Source organism: Homo sapiens, chromosome 2, assembly GCF_000001405.40.
Source record: "Homo sapiens chromosome 2, GRCh38.p14 Primary Assembly".
Classification (NCBI taxonomy): Eukaryota; Metazoa; Chordata; class Mammalia; order Primates; family Hominidae; genus Homo; species Homo sapiens.
Window position 1 is genome coordinate 213,760,782 of NC_000002.12, and position 19,513 is coordinate 213,780,294.

Consider the following 19,513-nt stretch of genomic DNA (forward strand, 5'->3'; position numbering starts at 1 on the left):
TTTCCTCACAGTTTTGGAGGATGAGGAATCCAGAAGCATGGTGCCAACATTTGGCAAGGGACATCCTATGGCAGAAGGCATTAGATGGCAAGAAACAGAGAAAGAGACAGACATCAGGGGCTGAACTTGTTTATAACTACCCCGCTACTTCAATAATGACAGTAGTAGTTTTAGTCCTTATGGCAGGATTTATGGGAGGACTCTGCCTGTATGACCCACTCACCCCTTATTTGGCTCCATCTCCTAACACTGTTGCATTGGAGATTAAGTTTTCAACATATGAATTTTAGGGGGACATATTCAAACCATAGCAAGGATGAAGTTAGAAATCAATATAAATAAAACCAGAAAAAGTTACAAAACTTTGGAATTTAAACAATACACTCTTAAACAATGAACGTTATCAAAGAGAAATTGTAAGGGAAATTCGAAAATACTTGGAGATGAAGGAAAATGAAAACAATATATCAAAACATATGGGATGAGGAAACAGTGCTAAGGGGGAAATTTATAGCTATAAGTTCTTAAAGATCTCAAGTCAACAACCTAGCTTTACAATGTATGGAACTAGAAAAATAACAAATTAAACCTAAAGCTAGCACAAGAAAGGAAATAATAAAAATTCGACCAGAGATAAACAAGATAGTGAATAGAAAAACAACAGAATAAACCAATGAACCCAAGACTTGGTTCTTTAAAAAGATGAACAAAATTTACAAAACTTTAGCTAAATAAACTAATAAAAAATGAGAGAAAAGATTCAAGTAACAAAGTCAGAAATAGAAAAAGGGACATTCAGGCTGGGCACGGTGGCTCACGCCTGTAATCTCAGCACTTTGGGAGGCTGAGGCAGGTGGATCACGAGATCAGGAGATGAGATCATCCTGGCTAACATGGTGAAACCCCATCTGTACTAAAACTACAAAAACAAAAAATTAGCTGGGCGTGGTGGCGGGCGCCTGTAGTCCCAGTTACTCAGGAGGCTGAGGCAGGAGAATGGCATGAACCCGGGAGGCAGAGGTTGCAGTGAGCCGAGATCGTGCCACTGCATTCCAGCCTGGGTGACAGAGTGAGATTCCGTGTCAAAAAACAAAAATAAAAACAAAAAAACAAAACAAAAAAAAACCCTACAGACCAATATCTCTTACGAATATTGAGGCAAAAATGCTCAAAAAATACTAGAAAACAGAATTCTGCAACATATTAATGTATGATAAGCCACAATCAAGTGGGATTTCTTCTTGGAATGCAAGGGTGACTCAACATAGCAAAGTCGATCAATGAAATACACCACATTAAGAGAACAAAGAAGAAAAAACACACATGATTATCTCAATTGCAGAAGAAAAAGTATTTGACAAAATGCTTAGAGTAGTCAAAACTGTAAAGCCAAAAGGTAGACCAGTGGCTTCCAGGGACTGGGAGGAAGGGAGAATGAGGAGTTACTGTTTAAGGGGAATAGAGTTTCAGTTTATAAAATAAAAAGAGTGATGGAGATGAATAATGGTAATGTGGTTGTACAACATTATGAACACATTTAATAGCACTGAACTGTACACTTAAAATAGGCTGATAAATTATATGTTATGTTCATTTTACCACGATAAAAAATGGAGAAAACAACAAAAAACAAACAGTATGGTACTAGAATAAAGACAGCTATATAAACCAATGAAACAGAAAACAGAACCTAGAAATAAACCCACACATATGCAATCAAATTATCTTCAACAAGGGGGCTAAGAACACACAATGGAGAAATAATAGTTGTTTCAACAAATGAATTTGGAAAAACTGGTTACCCTCATGTAAAAGAATGAAATTGAACCCTTACCTTGCACCATACACAAAAATAAACAGTACTAAAAATTTTAACAAAGACCTGAAACTATAAATCCTATTTAAGAAAACTTAGGGGAAAATTTTATAACATTTGTCTTGGCAATGATTGCTTGGATAAGGCACCAAAAGCGTAGGCAACAAAGGCAGAGATAATAAGTCGAACTACACCAAACTAAAAAGCTTCTGTACAACAAAGGAAGCAATCCAACAGAGTGAAAATGCAGTCCACGGAATGGGGGAAAGTATTTGCAAGTTGCAAATCTTATAAGGGGTCAATCTTTAAAATATGGAAAGAACTCCTACAACTCAATAGTTAAAAAAACCAAATAACCTTATTTAAAAATGGGCAAAGAACTTGACTAGACATTTCTCCAAAGACATAAAAATGTTCAACAGGTGTATGTAAAGGTGCTCACCATCACTAATCACCAGAGAAATGCAAGTCAAAACCACAAAATATATCACCTCACACATGTTAGGATGGCTGTTATCAAAATAACAGAAAATAAAAATTGTAAGGATATAGAGAAATCTGAATCCTTGAGTTGTGTTAGTGTGAATGTAAAATAGTGTAGCCTCAATGGAAAACTGTTTGGAGGTTCCTCAAAAAAATCAAAAACAGAACTATCATCTGATCCAGCAGTCCCACTTCTGGGTATTTAGCACTAAGAATTGAAATTAGGATATTGAAGAGATATTTGTATTCCTATGTTCATTGCAGTATTATTTATAATAGCTAAAAATTACAATGATACAATGTGGATGAACCTTAAGGGCATTATGTTAAGTGAAATAAACCAGTTATAGAAAGAAAAATACTGCATGATCTCACTTATATTAGGTATTCAAGTAGTCAAACTCATAGAAGCAGAAACTTGAATAGTGGTTTTCAGAGGCTGGGGAGAGTTGCTGTTCAATTGGTGTAGAGTTTCAGTTATGCAACATTAAAAAGTTCTAGGTATTTGCTTTACAACAATGTGCATATAGTTAACAATACTATACTGTGTGCTTAAAAATTTTAAAGGGTGGATCTCATTTTTTTTTTACCACGATAAAAAGGAAAAGAAAAATGAACTGGAAGTTTGGAATAGAATATCAGCTGTGATGCAATATGATATTGTGGAAAGACCGTTCGTTGCACTCATGATGCCAAGATCTGGATGACCGTCTTGCTCTCATCCTTATGAACTATTTTACCTGGCACAAGTTACTTAAGCTCATTGACTATTTTAGGACTATTGTGAGAAGCAAATGAAATAAACTTTGAAGCAGCAGCTTTTAATATGAGAAGGACTAATGAGCGAGGTTTGCACAGTTGGGCTTCAGGAGGTGTGTGAACCAACTAAAATAAAACACAAATGTGAAGGGTGGGTGTGGATTCATTTCCATAGCTCTCTCTTTTCAGAGTCACAAGTGAATCTCTAAGATACCCTCAAAGACTCAGGACTATTGCTCCTAAGTGTTACACAAATATTAGTTAGATATCTTGTGAGTTAATTAAGTTATTCAGAAAGATGGTGATTTAGAAAAATGCTGACTATGTAAACGAGATTTTAAAATGATGACTAAGTTTTTTTTTCTCTTTTTCTTCATTTCTCCACCACTTTGCCTTTTAGGAGTAATTTTCTTTCAGTTTTTGAGGTAGAACCCAAATGAATGCTTGGAATTTTTTTTCTTTTTTCATTTGTTTTGTTCCCCATACTACTTTGCAGTGCTTTATCAGCATGGGTGACATTAGGAACATTCAGGGGGAAAAAAAAAACCTGAGTAAATTAAAATTGTCAGTTGCTGGATGAGAATAAACTACAAAAGACAATAAATAGGCAGTGAACTAGATATAGTGTCCTTGGACTTACATTTTGCAACGTAGTAGATGATATATTGTATTCCACATATTTTTTTTAAACTCTCTGAAAAATAGAGAATCTAGAAAAGAAATAACTTCTAGGAACTTCTTTTATTTATATAGCTAAATTGTTTCATTTTTCTGGCTGGCTTTTCTCCGAATTCAGTTCTGGTGTTACTATCTTGAATCAAAGCAAAATATTTACTACTACTGAGAGAACATGATATTATTCCCCAAAAGCTAATATTAATGAAAAGAATATGGAAAAGATTATGAAACTATAAAATATTAAGTTATAAGTGATATTTTAATTATATGAAGTATGTAATATATTCAATATTATAATTCATTGCCATCTTGAAATCATTTATAATTATTACATTTTAACACTTTGTTTCTCAAAGAATGCTCATTATGAGAAGGATATTTTATGCATAAAAGTCTGAAAGCACATCATGTCAATTATAAATGCTTGACTCAAGCAAGAGTCAGTGCTCTTCTGTCACATGAAATGTGCCTTTCTCATCATTGCAGGCCTTTTCCACTTCCGGCCACTGAATCACATGGAAAATAAACAACAAGGTCAACAAAATACAAAAATTAACATTAAAACAGAGGCCGGGCACGATGGCTCATGCCTGTAATCCCAGCACTTTGGGAAGTGCCCGAGGCGGGCGGATCACAAGGTCAGGAGACCGAGACCATCCTGGCCAACACGGTGAAACCACGTCTATACTAAAAATACAAAAATTAGCTGGGCGTGGTGGTGCATGTCTGTAATCCCAGCTACTCGGGAGACTGAGGCAGGCGAATTGCTTGAACCCGGGAGTCGGAGGTTGCAGTGAGCCGAGATCACACCACTGCACTCCAGCCTGGTGACAGAGTGAGACTCTGTCTCAAAACAAATCAAAACAAAACAAAAAAAGATTAAAACAGAAATTTCAGTGATTTATTTTTTCATCAGGCTTAGAAGAATGGAGATAGAAAAAGCAAGCAGATTCCCAATTATGGAATGCCTTCTATGTCCTCTTGAGTCTATATGTGTATATTCCCAGTTAGGGAATCCACTTACCTTTTTCTGTCTGCATTCTTACATTCCTTACATTTATTCATTCACAATGTCACGTGTGTGTGTGTGTGTGTGTTATTTACTTGTTTCTTCTATCTCAAATTCTTCCAGTATATACTCATTCTTCTTCCTCCAACCTTGTTTTAAAAATATGCTTCTTTTAAAATTAAGACATTTATAGGAATCACATTAACTTTCAATTAATTGCTTTGTTCCTAACACTGAAGTACTAGGGGGGTTCTGTTTTTGGTAATGACAGAGGTATGGTTGTGCTGGAAGTTGATGCTTTTGTAGTTGGAAATGTTTAGGAGATAGAACAAACTTAAGCAGCTATGTAGATAGGTTTAGGACAATAGGATTAGGGAAACAGATCCAGATCCCGGTTCCTCAGTAAACGAGAACAGGCCAGAGTCAAACAAGAATGAATGTAACATTGACCTGGAACTGACCTTGGACTGAAAGGTATAGGAGGACTTCTGTTTCATATACTGAGAGCTTCGTGGCTTTAACGCTACATTTCAGTCTTATGGAAGAATACACTGTGTCTTGGGAATTCCGTATTCAAGGCTCTAAATAAGAAACTGGCTTCCACATGGACTTTTATAAAATGCCATGTATTGTATGATTCCATTTACTTGAAATCTCCAAAACCAGAAAGTGCATAGAAATAGAAAGTAGTTTAGTGGTTACCCTCAGGTAAAGAACAGGAGAAAGGGAGTGACTGTTGAGAATACAGGTTTCTTTCTTAGGTGACAACAATGTTCTGGAGTTAGATAGTGGTCATGGTTGTACAACCTTGTGACTCTACTATAAAACATGAATTGTACACTTTTAAATGGTGAATTTATTAAATTATATCTTAATAAAAATACATCTAGTCACAGGTTGGGAGCTCTATGCAGTGATCTCTGTCAGCAGCTCAGCTGAAATTAAAAAAGAGCTGAACTTTCAGGTGTCAGGGAGCTGATGAAAGCCACAAGTCGAAAATGAAAGTTAAGCCTTTAATCACTTACTGCTATGCTGTAAGCATGATTCAAACCAGAGAAATCTCTGACAGCTCAGATATGGGGGTGGTCTCAGTGTCGAGAAAGCACCAAACAAAAAGGCTCTAGTAGTTTTATGAGCCTTAGATTAGGGATGGGGAGCAGAAGAGGCTAGGAATGGAAAAGTGAAGTACAGGCTACTGAGTCAGAGTGGTGAAAAGTGTCTTCGAGATGTGCCACACTTCACAGTGAGGAGGTCTCAGCAGAGACACATGGGCTAGGTATGCAAATATGCAAAGAGAATAGCTAGCTAGAGAGGACTGAATTCTGGCCTGCAGCTTCCTTTCAACACTGTGATTTATTACCTGAGCACAAAGTCTGGGTTGGAGAGGGTAGCTTTCTCCTGCGAGGCCTGCCGGGTAAAACCTTAGGAATTACCCATGGTCAGGCCTGAAAAATCATGGATAGGTTTTCAGTCAGGAGCCAGACTCCTCAATCTCCATATCACCAGTTGTTTTTGTGGACATAGCCAGGCATACGTTTATCATCCCTTACATTCACTGATTGGATTACCATGTAGGTCATCATGTCATTCTTCAAAGGAAAAGGTTCTCTTCGTTATCTTCCAGGTGGGAAATTAATTCATACATTGTTGGGCTTGTCTTTACCATCAATGATTTAAGTTGTCTTAACACGCATTATATGTTCTATTATCCAAGTATTAATTTTCTATCATATAATTATCACTGAATATTTAATACATACCCATACCACGCAGTAGGGTATCATGTAATAAATGCTCTCCCTTTTAGAGTAAGGAATGAAAATCAGTAGTGTAGGTAGGAATATTAGAAAGTAAATTAAGGCTGGGTGCAGTGGCTCACACCTGTAATCCTAGCACTTTGGGAAGCTGAAATGAGAGGATCACTTGAGCCCAGGAGTTCCAGGTCAACCTAGGCAACATAGTGAGTCCCCATCCTTACAAAAAATAAAAATAAATTAGCCAGGCGGTTGAGAGGTCGCTTGAGCCTGGGAGGTGGAGGCTGCAGGGACCTCTGATTACATTACTATGCTGCAGCCTGGGCAATGGAGTGAGATCTTGTCTTTTTGAAAAAAAAAGAGAACAACATACTTCACACACACACACACACACACACAAAATCAGATATAAGAATTTATGAATCCTTTAGGTTACTAAAGGCAGAAGTTTTAAGCTATTTTTGATGTTTTGCCTACTTTCTCCACTGGAATAACTTAAAATTAATGTAGTTCAAATTAATGTGACATTTATTGGGCAACAAATGAGCCTGCCACTGAGATGGCTTTGAGTGATAAAATGGTACAGAAGTAGACAAGATGTAGTCTACTCTTTCAGAGTTTGTAGACTAGCAGGCATGTATAAATAAGCAATTATAGTATAGTGTAACAAATATTCTGATGAGAGAAATGGCAGTGTGTCAAAGTGCTGCACTGGAACAGCTCTTAACTCAGTTTGGCAATGGTGGGTAAGTTTGACTGCTTTTTAAGATCTTATCCCCAAATTATGTAAAGAAAATAAAAAAGGAGGCAATAAGAAGGAAAGGGTATCTAGTGAAGAGGAAAGAACATGGGCACACACCTACAGGTAAAGGTGTACTCTGGGGTCTAAACAGATTTTAATATGGTTTGAGCATAAAGTATTGGGGGTAAAGGACTGATGAAAGCAGGAGCTAGAAAAAAGAGATAAGAATGCAATAAAGGCAGGCTTTCTAAGCTATATTATAGGAAAAATTTGTCACTAAACAGGGCAATGACATAATCAAATTTACATTTCATAATGAGCCTTTCTAACACCAGTGCCAAGAGTGGATTGCAGATGAGCAAGAGTGTAGACAGAAAAGTTACTCTGAAAGCTCTGTTGTGAATTCAGGCAATATTGTAGAGTTCTAACTTAGACTAGTAGACTTCACAAGACAGCACTATATATGAATACAAGTAAATCTTTAGAATTTAATATTTACGAGGACAGGTGACTGGGTATGGAAGGTGTGGAAAGAGATCTAAATTTTGAATTTGGACAACTAGTTGGAAAATGATACCATTTGTTCCAAAATGGAACAAAGGGAAAATAATAGGTCTCAGATGATGAAAATAAATTTCGAATATGTTGAATTTGCAATGTTTGTGAGAAATCCAAATGGAAATATCCAATCACATATCTGGGTGTGTGGCTCAGGAGAAAGATCTGAGTTGTGGCTATAAATTTGTAAATCATCAGCCTATAAGGCATAAGAAATGTATGTCAATAGATGTGGCCATGCTGGACAAGTATGTATCAGAGAGGAATGCCTAGAACAATGCCCATCTGAACACAAAAACTTTAGAAAAGAGAAGGGGGTAAGTCAGGAGAAGGCTATAACATAGAGAATCCATAAGAAAAGGTCTGAGAGGTAAGAGGGAAACCAGAAAAGTAGTGTCAGGAAATCCCAGGAAAGAGATGGTTGGTTATGAGAAAGAATTAGTTGATGATATTATAAAAAGGGTGAGGTCAGGTAGGAAAAGGATGGGAAAGAAACTAGTTCACTTAGCATTAAAGAAGTATTGGTAGCCTAGGCAAGAGCACTTTCACTAACATGCTTGGATTAAATCCAAACATGAGTTGAATGAGGAATTGGGGTGGATAAAGTCAACTCTAAGTTAAATGTTTGGGGATACATTTATTAATTTTATATTACCAATTCTATCTTGAGGAATTTCTCCTCCTTTTATATATCAGTGAGTTGTAGAGATCTCTTTCTAGTATAGTGAAAATTTCCATAGAAGTTGAAGGTAGTACATCCTTAGTTCATTTGCGGTAGAATATGGACTTGAAGACAGCCTTACTCAGACTTTGAATTGACAGTTGGTATAAAGAAGTAGTGCCAACAGCATATCTTTTCTGGCAGTGGCATTGGTGACAGCGTTATCAGATTAGGTGGTATACCAGAGTCAGAAGTCCAAGCTGTGGCACGTGCTTCTCAGTACCAGTATCAGAAACAAGGGCAGAGGAATCCTCATCTACTAGTTACCTGGCATGCTTTTGAACATAGTTCTGATTTTTATAAATTCTCTTGATTCCTGCTGATTTCCCCAGCCTGGCTTTGCAGGATCCCTGGAAATTGCTCACTACCTAATATCTTTTAAATATGTCTCTTTCTGTTTAATTAAAATTCAATTTCTATTGCTTCTGCTAAAAAATTTTGACTGATACACAATACAACAAAATGCACAGACGTGTACAGTTTGATCATCTTTGACAAATTCATATACCCATATACAGTTTGATCATCTTTAACAAATTCATATACCCATCAAACCCCTATCAAGACATGGAACATTGCTATCAACTCACAAAGTGTGCCCAATAAGCCACTGCACCCTGAAGCAACCAGCATCTGATTTTTACTACCATAGATTAATTTTGCAGGTTCTAAAACTTCATATAAATAGAAGCACACAATATGTACTGTTTTGTCCCTGGCTTCTTTAACTCAGCATGAAGATTTGAAGATTTGTCCATGTTGTTGCTTATATCAATGCTCTGTGTATTTATTTTACTGAGTTTTATTTCAATATATGAATATATCACAGTTTATTTATATATGTGTATTAATAGGCACCTGGTTGTTTATTTCCAGCTTGGGGCTATTAGGAATGAAAGTGCTATAAACTTTCTTGTACAAGGTTTTGTGATGATTTATTTTTTTCTTATTTTTTTGTTTTTACGGATATGTCATTTTTATTGGATAAATACCTAGAAGTGGAATTGCTAGGCATCATGATAGGTGCATGTTTAACGTTTTAAGAAATTAAGAAGCATTGTTTTCTAAGTTGTATAATTTTTTGCTCTCATCAGCATGCCTTTTCATTTTCATCTTCTCAACACTGTAATTTTAGGATCAGATTATATATTTTTAAATTTAATTTAATTTTAAGTTCCAGGGTACATATGCAGGACATGCAGGTTTGTTACATGGGGAAACATGTCCCATGGTGGTTTGCTGCACCTATCAATCCATCACATAGGTATTAAGCCCCATATGCATTAACTCTTTATCCTGATAATATGCTTCCCCTAACACCCCCTTGACAGGCCCCAGTGTGTGTTATTCATCTCCTTGTGTTCATGTGTTCTCACTGTTCAGCTCCCACTTATAAGTGAGAAGATGTGGTGTTTGGTCTTCTGTTCCTGTGTTAGTTTGCTGAGGGATAATACCTTCAAGCTCCATCCATGTCCCTGCAACAGACATGATCTAGTTCCTTTTTATGGCTTCATAGTATTCCATAGTGTATATGTACCACATTTTCTTTATCCAGTCTATCATTGATGGGCATTTGGTTGATTCCCTGTGTTTGCTATTTTGAATAGTGCTGCAGTGAACACATGCGTGCAAGTGTCTTTATAATAGAATGATTTATATTCCTTTGGGTATATACTCTGTAATGGGATTGCTGGGTCAAATGGTTTTTCTGGTTCTAGGTCTATGAGGAATCACCACTCTGTCTTCCATAATGGTTGAACTAATTTACATTCCCTCCAAAAGTAAAAGTGTTCCTATTTCTCCACAGCTTCACCAGGATCTGATGTTTTTGACTTTTTAATTATCACCATTCTGACTGACATGAAATGGTATCTAATTGTTGTTTTGTTTTACATTTCTCTAATGATCAATGATGCTGAGTTTTTTTTCGTATGTTTGCTGGATGCATGAATGTCTTCTTTTGAAAAGTGTCTATTCATGTCCTTTGTCCACTTTTTAATGTTTTTTTCCTTGTAAATTTGTTTAAGTTCCTTGTAGATTCTGGATATTAGACATTTATCAAATGGTTAGATCACAAAAACTTTCTCCTATTCTGTAGGTTGTCTGTTCACTCTGATGATGGTTTCTTTTGCTGTGCAGAAACTCTTTTTTTTAATTAGATCCCATTTGTCAATTTTTGCTTTTGTTGCAATTGCTTCTGGTGTTTTCATCATAAAATCTTTGCCCATGCCTATATCCTGAAAGGTATTGCCTAGATTTTCTTCTAGGGTTTTTATAGTTTTGGGTTTTACATTTAAGTCTTTAATCCATCTTGAATTAATTTTTATGTGTGGTGTAAAGAAGGGGTCCAGTTTCAATTTTCTGTATATGGCTAGTCAGTTTTTCCACCATTTATTAAATAGGGAATCCTTTCCCCATTGCTTGTTTTCATCAGGTTTGTTGAAGATCAGATGATCATAGACGTGCAGTCTTATTTCTGAGATCTCTATTCTGTTCCTTTGAATTATGTGTCAGTTTTGGTACCAGTACCATGCTGTTTGGTTACTGTAGCCTTGTAATATAGTTTGAAGTCAGGTAGCATAATGCCTCCAGCTTTGTTCTTTTTGCTTAGGATTATCTTGGATATACAGGCTCTTTTTTTGTTTCATATGAGTTTTAAAGTATTTTTTTTCTAATTCTGTGAAGAATGTCAATGGTAGTTTAATGGGAATAGCATTGAATCTATAAATTACTTTGGGCACTTTGGCCATTTTCAAAACATTGATTCTTCCTGTCTGAGCATGGAATGTTTTTCCATTTGTGTCCTCTTATTTCCTTGAGCAGTGGTTTGTAGTTCTCATTGAAGAGGTCCTTCACTTTCCTTGTTATCTGTATTCCTAGGTATTTTATTCTCTTTGTAGCAATTGTGAATGGGAGTTAATTCATGATTTGGCTCTCTGCTTGTCTATTGTTGGTGTAGAGGAAAGCTTATGATTTTTGCACATTGATTTTGTACCCTGAGACCACCCTCAACATGCCAGATCTTGACTATCTCAGAAGCTAAGCAGGATTGGGCCTGGTTAGTACTTGGATGGAAGCAGATATTTTTTACTTTTTTTCTTCAGTGATTTGAACATTTTGTATCCTATGTAGCAAATAATCTTCTAACATAAGGTCAAAACTATTTTTCCTGTGTTTTTGCCTAGAAGTTTTTTAATTTTAGCTTTTATGTTTAGGTTCTTCCTCATTGAATTGCTGTAGTACTCTTGCGAAAAGAGTACTACTATATATATGTGGGTTTATTTCTATTCCATTGACTGGTTAGTGCATCCTTTTACCAATATAACATCTTTCTGATTAGTATAACTTTATAATAAGCCTTAATGTCAGGTAGATTAATTCTCCTAAATTTGTTTTCTTTCTTATCAAGTTTGTTTGGGCTACTTTAGAATCAACTTGTCTATTTCTATAAAAAAGCCTATGCATTTTGGTTAGAATTGAGTTGAACCTGTACATCAATTTGAGGAAAACTGACATCTAACAATATTGTCTTCCAATCTATGAACATGAGGTATTTGAGGTATTCTCCTATTCCTTTTAGCATAATTTTATAATTTCACTGTAATGGTTTTATATATCTTTCATTAAATTGGTCCCTAATAATTTTTTGAGATGCTTTTATATACAATATGTTCTATTTTACTTATTCTTTTTTTTTCAATTTTTTCATTCATATGGTTTGTTTTTCACTAAAGCCTTTAACATATTAATCACAATTATTTTAAAGTCTTTGATAATTTTGATATATGCATCATATCTTGATATCATTTGGTTTATCCCTTTTAGAGTTCTTTTTATCATTTTTTTAATTTAGTGTCTTATAATTTTGTTTTTAATGATGGACATCATGTCTTAGTTTCAGGCAGTTTCTACGGAATTCTGTTTTATAGATGAGATTTTCTCAGCATTTGTGAGTTTTTTCCCACAAGGCATTCACACACTCCCTTGAATCTGAGCAAAGTCATTTAGGAGAGATTTTCTGTGCTCTTTCAAGGGAAGGTGACTTTAAAACAAATTGATGCATAAGAAAACTTCATATTTATGGCATATAGAGTGAAATTTCATTACATGTATACAATGTGTGATTATCAGTTCATGTAACTAGTATATCCATCACCTTTCCTGCATCAGATGACGTTTGCTCATGGCATAATGGTAGTGTATCCTTTCCTGGGAATGGTGTTTCTTTTTGTTTTAATTTGGAAATTTTTCTTTCTTTCCTTTCCTTTTTTGATGGAGTCTTTCTCTGTCGCCCAGGATGGAGTGTGCAGTGGCATGATCTCGGCTTACTGCAACCTCTGCCTCCCAGGTTCAAGCAGTTCTCTATCTCAGCCTCCTGAGTAGCTGGGATTACAGGCACCTGCCACCACGCCTGGCTAATTTTTGTATTTTTAGTAGAGATAGAGTTTCACCATCTTGGCCAGGCTGGTCCTGAACTCCTGACCTTGTGATCCACCCGCCTCAGCCTCCCAAAGTGCTGGGATTACAGGCATGAGCCACCAAGCCTGGCCTAATTTGGAAATTTCTATTGACCTCTCTTCAAGATAGACTCTTGTCTATCTGGTCCTCAAATAATCCAACCAAAAGAATTTCTTATATTCATTATCATATATTATATTTCTAACATTTCCTTTTAGCTTGTTTTTATAGCATTCATTGCTCTTTTAGAATCCTCTGTCTGTTCACTCCTATTTTCTATTCCTATTTTTTACCGCAATGTGTGGTAAATGGTGTAATACATTTATCATAGCTATTTTGATGTTCTGGTTAGATAATTCTAATATCTGGGATATCTTTTGGTCTCTTTATCTTGACTATTTTTCTTTTGCCTATTGGTTATGTGTCAGTTTCTTAGGGCTGCTGTAACAAATTACCATACACTGGGTGGATTAAAGCAACAGAAATTTATTTTCTTTCAGTTCTGTAGGTTAGAAGTTTAAAATCAAGGTGTTGACAGGGACATAATCCTTACGAAAACTCTATGAGAGTTCTTTCTTGTCTTTTCTAGCTTCTTCCAGTTTGCTTATAATCTTTCATGTTTTTGTCTTGTAGATGCATCACTCCAATCCTTAATCTTCACATGGCATTTTTCGTGTGTCTGTCTGCATGTGGTCATCTTCTTTTAAGGACATCAGTCTTATTGATTTAGGGGTCTACCCTATTTCCTGTGATCTCATATTAAGCAATTTTATATGCAATGGTGTTATTTCCAAATAAGTTCATATTCTGAGTTAATGGGGGTTAGGATTTCAACATATTCTTTACAGGGGAGACAATTCAGTTCCTAAAAGAGTTCTGGTTTCTTGTTTCTTCTCTGGTACCATCACTTTTAAAAATAAAATACCAGATATTTGTGTAAAGAAACACTTAACACTGAAGTCAATAATACCTGTGCCCTAGATAGGAGATGGCTCAATTTCTTCGAGGCCAGTAGTGTGGCAGGCTGACTCAACCTATATTTTATCTGGACCTAATTTTGTTGAAGCTTTAGTTAGATTCACTTCTCAGGCTTCAAATGGTCTAAAAGCAGAATCACAAATTTTTCCTTAGTACGTGCATGAAGTATGCATGCTGGAGGGTTTTCTCATATCTCCTACTCAGCTCCCATTCTTCAGCAGGCCCAGTGTACCTGTGTCTCAGGTTGGATCTGTCTCGGCACTACTGTATTGTTTCTAAATTTTCTCAAGACTTGTCAAAAAGAGTTTGTTAGTGAGCTCAGATTCTCAGAGTACAACTATTTTCTTCTAGCCGGCATTTATGACGACTTGCTCCTTTTCCTGCTGCTCTGCCAAAGACGAAAGCATCCTGAGTCTCTTCTAGATTGAATGCCTTACATTTTAGATTTTGTTTTAAAAATTTTCTTTGCATCCTCAGTTCTTTGCTGGGCTTTATAAATCATAATTGTATATACCATTTTGTATTTCTTTGTAATTGAAGTGCTCTTGCAACTTTTCTAAATCACTTTATTGTAGTATAATTAATATATAAAAATACATGTTTAATGTATACAACTAAGTTTGAAGATATGCATATAGCTGTGAAATTATTACTACATTCTATTTTATAAACACAGCTATCACCTCCAAAAGTTTCCTCTCACTCTCCTAATTTGTTATTACCTATTTTGTGATAACAACACTTAACATAAGATCTATCTACCCTCTTAACAAGTTTCCAAGTACACAGTACAGTATTGCTATCTATAGGCACTGTGCTGTATAGTAGATCTTCAGGACTTATTCATCTTACATAACTGAAACACTGTACACTTTGACTGATGCCTCACTGTTTTCCCATCCCCTCAGTCCCTGCTACTTACCATTCTACTCTCCGCTTTTATGAGTTTGGCTATTTTAGATTCTTCATATAAGTGTTATAACATAGTATTTGTTCTTCTTGCAACTTTCTACATCTTTATAAGTAGAAGTCACTGATATCCTTTTTAAAGGTCTTTTCATAATTATCCTTTACCTTAGATTTATTAAGTGGAAGCTGCATTTTTTGGTTTTATTTGTGTATACCATTACAACTAAGAAACACAATGTACAAACTCTCAGTCAAATTTATTGAACTGGAGATTGTTAGTAAACCCCTAATAAATTAGCTCCAAATAGCTATGATTGCTTTCTTTCCAAGGGTTGTGTATTTGCCACATTGGCATAAATGTAAACTAGATAAAGAAAGCATTATAAATTATTTTGTGTGTAGTTACATATAATTCAAGGTCTCAGTAGGCAAAGTAACCCCTTCCCAACATCCCAAAATATCTACATCCCAATCATTGGGATTTATGTTACCTCATATGGCAAAGGAACTTTGTGACAGTGATTAAGTTAGAGCCCTGATTTGTAGAGATTATCCTGGATTATGTTGGTGGACCCAGTCTAATCATAGGAGCCCTTAAAAGTGGATAAATTTATTCTGGCTTCTGTTCATGGGAGATGTGATTGCAGGAGGGAGAGAGACACAACATTGCTGGCTTTGACAATTGGGAGAGGGCTATAAGCTAAGGAATGTGGGTGATCACTAGAAGTTGGAAACAGCAAGGAAATGGATTCTCCACCAGAGCACTCAGAAAAACATGAAGCTCTTCTGGGTCCTTGATTTAAGTTCAGTGAGACCCATGTCTGACTGCTAATCTATAGAAGTGGAAGATAACAAATCTGTGTTGTTTGAAACCAAGTTTGCGGTAATTTGCTACAGCAGCAATAGAAAACTAGTAAAAGGCCAGAACAACAACAAAAAATTCTGAATATCAATTTGTAAAAGTTGTGAGGGTGAAATTTTAAAAAGTTTTTTTTTCTTATTCTCCCATGTTTAGTTCGCTAGGTTAGTTTTATAAGAAATAAAATAGAAAGCTGGAAAAGACATTGACTTTTTTACAGACATTACTTTTAGAGACTAATATAGAGAAATAAATTTGGTTTCAAATTTGAAGATCACAAGAAAAGGAGATCTCATAATATCTTACCAGCGTTCTATGCCACCCCCCCCCCACCCCAGGACCCGAGCATTATTCTTAATATAACACATACATGTTCTTAATAAGATTAACATAATTTTAGCAAAAAATTTCATAAGAAGGAAATGTTGATGGGTCTATAATAGTGGAAAAAAAGGTAAACTTAGAGTTATGTAAGATTAAAAAAAGAAACAAAAGTAACTGACTTTTTGAAATACTGTACATTAACCGTAGTTATTAAAATGTCATAGGTTTCTTTGTTACTTCACAATTGAGAACATTATACTATTTTTCCCTTTTTCATGTATATCATTTGAAAAATATTTCCTAAAGAAACTATTGTTTTTCCTACTTAAATTCAACTATTCTGACAATATATTAATACTAACCCCAAATCTTCTGGTCATTCTTCAGCAAGTGTCCAGTTTGTAGGAATTTTTTTTTTTTTTTTTTTTTTTTTTTGAGACGTAGTCTCATTCTGTCGCTCAGGCTGGAGTGCAGTGGTGCAATCTCGGCTTACTGCAACCTCCACCTCCCAGGTTCAAGAGATTCTCCCACCTCAGCTTCCTGAGTAGCTGGGATTACAGTCATGTACCACAACGCCCAACTAATTTTTTTTTTTGAGATGGAGTCTCGCTCTGTCTCCCAGGCTGGAGTGCAGTGGCGCGATCTCCCCTTACTGCAAGCTCCGCCTCCCGGGTTCACGCCATTCTCCTGCCTCAGCCTCCCCAGCAGCTGGATTACAGGCGCCCGCCTCCACGCCTGGCTAATTTTTTAAGTATTTTTAGTAGAGACGGGGTTTCACCTTGTTCGCCGGGATGGTCTCGATCTCCTGACCTTGTGATCCGCCCGCCTCGGCCTCCCAAAGTGTTGGGATTACAGGCGTGAGCCGCCCAACTAATTTTTGTATTTTTAGGAGAGATAGGGTTTCACCGTGTTGGCCAGGCTGGTCTTGAACTCCTGACCTCAAGTGATCTGCCTGCCTCGGCCTCTCAAAGTGCTGGGATTACAGACTTGAGCCACTGGGCCTGGCCTGTAAGAACAATTTAATTGCACTCCAGTTGTGCCTAATTCAATTGCACTCCAAGTTTTTTTTACAGGCAATCCAATTATACTCTAAAATATCATCTTCCTGAAGAGCAAAGAATTAGGATCCTTGAAAAACTTGCTCTTTTAGTTTTGCTCTTGAGATTATAATAAATTTCTTAGGAAAGGTGCTAGATAATAAATTTCTGGATATGTAAAAATACTGTATGTATAAGCTGTCCAACCCAGGAAATCTAAATATATAGAATGAACGTTATACTGTTTAATATTAAAGTGTTTGATTCTTAAATATCCTGATACTAGATGAGAATTAGATAAGTACATGTACTACAAATCACACGATGATTGTCATTTCCACAAGGTTGCTTAACATCTTTAATTAGTCTATCTGAATTCTTAGTTTAACATATATACTTAACTATAAAAGTTAAAATAAGAAAGTCATACCTAGACTTTTTTGACACTATTTTGAGAATTGACACCTGAAAACCTGCTATTGAGGATAAAAGAAAGGGGAACACACTTAAAAAATAGACTTAATTACTAAAGTCAAATAATCTTTGATTCTTTATAATAGGGGCAAAAATTTTTATACCTTTCACTTTCCCAGGGCAGTATGTAGTATGCTTTATTACGGACCATATCAACCCTAGTGCTTTCATCTCTATTATATCTTCATCCATCTTTTCAAATAACTCTATCCTAGGTTTTGTCATAACTCTCAGTACCCAATCCACTGGCCATAAGTCAAGAGCTTACCAACTCTCATACTCTTAGTACACATTTTCTTCTTTTCCATGGTATATTATCTTTCTCTCCCTTCTGTTCTGTCCCTACTTGGCTAAATCCATCAGTCATCACTTCAACCAACCTCTGCCACTATCTCTAGTTCTTTGGCCCCACTGATCTATCTTCATTAATGTAGCTGTTTACCAAGCAAACTTCTCTTATGCAACTGGAAAGCCTTGAGTTAATATTAATGAATTTTTTTCAGTTCCATGTCTGCAGTGATTCTCAGCAAGCCTTCTTTGGCCCCTTAATTATTTACGTTTTCTTCATACTAGCAATTTCAAAGTATTTCTGCTCCCCATAAACTAATGACATAGCCACCATATTTCATTTTATTCTCATCCCATCACTTAATTCTTCAAAAGTAAAGTTAAAATTGCCTTGAGTGAAGTTACTCAACTTCCCACCACTAAACCTGCACAAATGCCTTCATCTATTTCAATCCTTTCCAGTTTTCCCTTTAACTTTTCACACTTTAAAGAGATGTATTCTTTCCTACTTAATGTTTCTTGAGAATATTGCTACTCCATAAGTTTTCTTTGTTTTTAGTTATACCTCCAACTTCTTTTTTTCCAGATGTCCTTTATTGAGTTCTTAAATACGTCTGTTTCTTCTACATTAGAATTGATAACAGTAGTAGTATAATCAAACCAAACCTTCAACTCCACATTCCATTTTTAGATCTGTAATATTTAATATGGCTTAAGCTGCAAATTAGAGTAACCTTAACCTAAAATGAATTTAAAAATTTTAAAAAAATTGTGCTTGCCTAACAGGATTTCCAGGAAGTCAGTGTTCCAACTCTATTCCTTTTGTGATATGTTCAGTTCTGCCCTCTTCTATATTTTGGTTTTGTTATTCATGGTCAAAGATGGCTGCCATTCACAGCTAAAGCAACATCTGCTTTGTTAATATCAAGAAAGAGGGAGAGGTAACCGCTCCTTCAACTATAAAAAAAATTATCATTCCCTGAATAGGGTCATCTGGTGCCCTAGGATCAGTAGTAGTCATGAGATGTTGAGATGATTGACATATCTGGAGCCTGTACCAGTCATTGGCAAGAGGAATGGAATTGCTGTGATCAACTTAGCCTACTCAGGATTCTTACCTGGAGCTCTTGGTAGGGATAACATCTCCTGAATCATAACGATGATGTAAGGGAAGTCTGAATACTTAAAAATTGAAACGTGTTATTTTATCCCAGTAAGGAAGAAAGTGGAATACTTGATAAGCCACCAGTGGTGTCTATTACATGAAGAAGCAAAGGGAATGAAGTAAACTTAAGTGCATAAAAATGACTTCTCAGAAAAGTACAGATCCAGATCCTATGGATACCCAAATTAATTCCTAATTTATTGCTTAAAATAGCTACTAGGCATGCTGACTCCTGTTTCACCCTGTCAGAGGGACTTTGAATAAAATGGTACTAGATTATTAATTATGGGGACTAGTCATGTACTTCATGCTCTCTCAAAGCAATGTCTAGATCTGTCCTTGCTTTGGCTGCTCTTCAGCCAGCTCTGGGGTCTGGCCTCATCCTGCACTCCACCCTCCCAACCTTTTAGTGAGAGGTACTTTTACCATCTGCAAAGGTAAAAGAGATACCTTTACTATCACATGGCATCACATTTGCCACATGATGTCTCTATCAAATTC

The 19,513-nt window shown here is 36.0% G+C and overlaps 1 protein-coding gene across 17 annotated transcripts in view, besides 2 other annotated features; it reads left to right on the plus strand.

The window, feature by feature from the left end:
- Positions 1–19,513, plus strand: part of SPAG16 (sperm associated antigen 16) — a 1,126,038-nt gene that overhangs the window by 476,318 nt on the left and 630,207 nt on the right. The window lies entirely within an intron of this gene.
- Positions 5,584–5,633: an enhancer, noted in NCBI's record as "active region_17068". NCBI's record gives its function as "activates an Ori minimal core promoter by ATAC-STARR-seq in GM12878 lymphoblastoid cells {active_cell/tissue: GM12878}" and the evidence as "EXISTENCE:reporter gene assay evidence [ECO:0000049][PMID:35858748]".
- Positions 5,804–5,973: an enhancer, noted in NCBI's record as "active region_17069". NCBI's record gives its function as "activates an Ori minimal core promoter by ATAC-STARR-seq in GM12878 lymphoblastoid cells {active_cell/tissue: GM12878}" and the evidence as "EXISTENCE:reporter gene assay evidence [ECO:0000049][PMID:35858748]".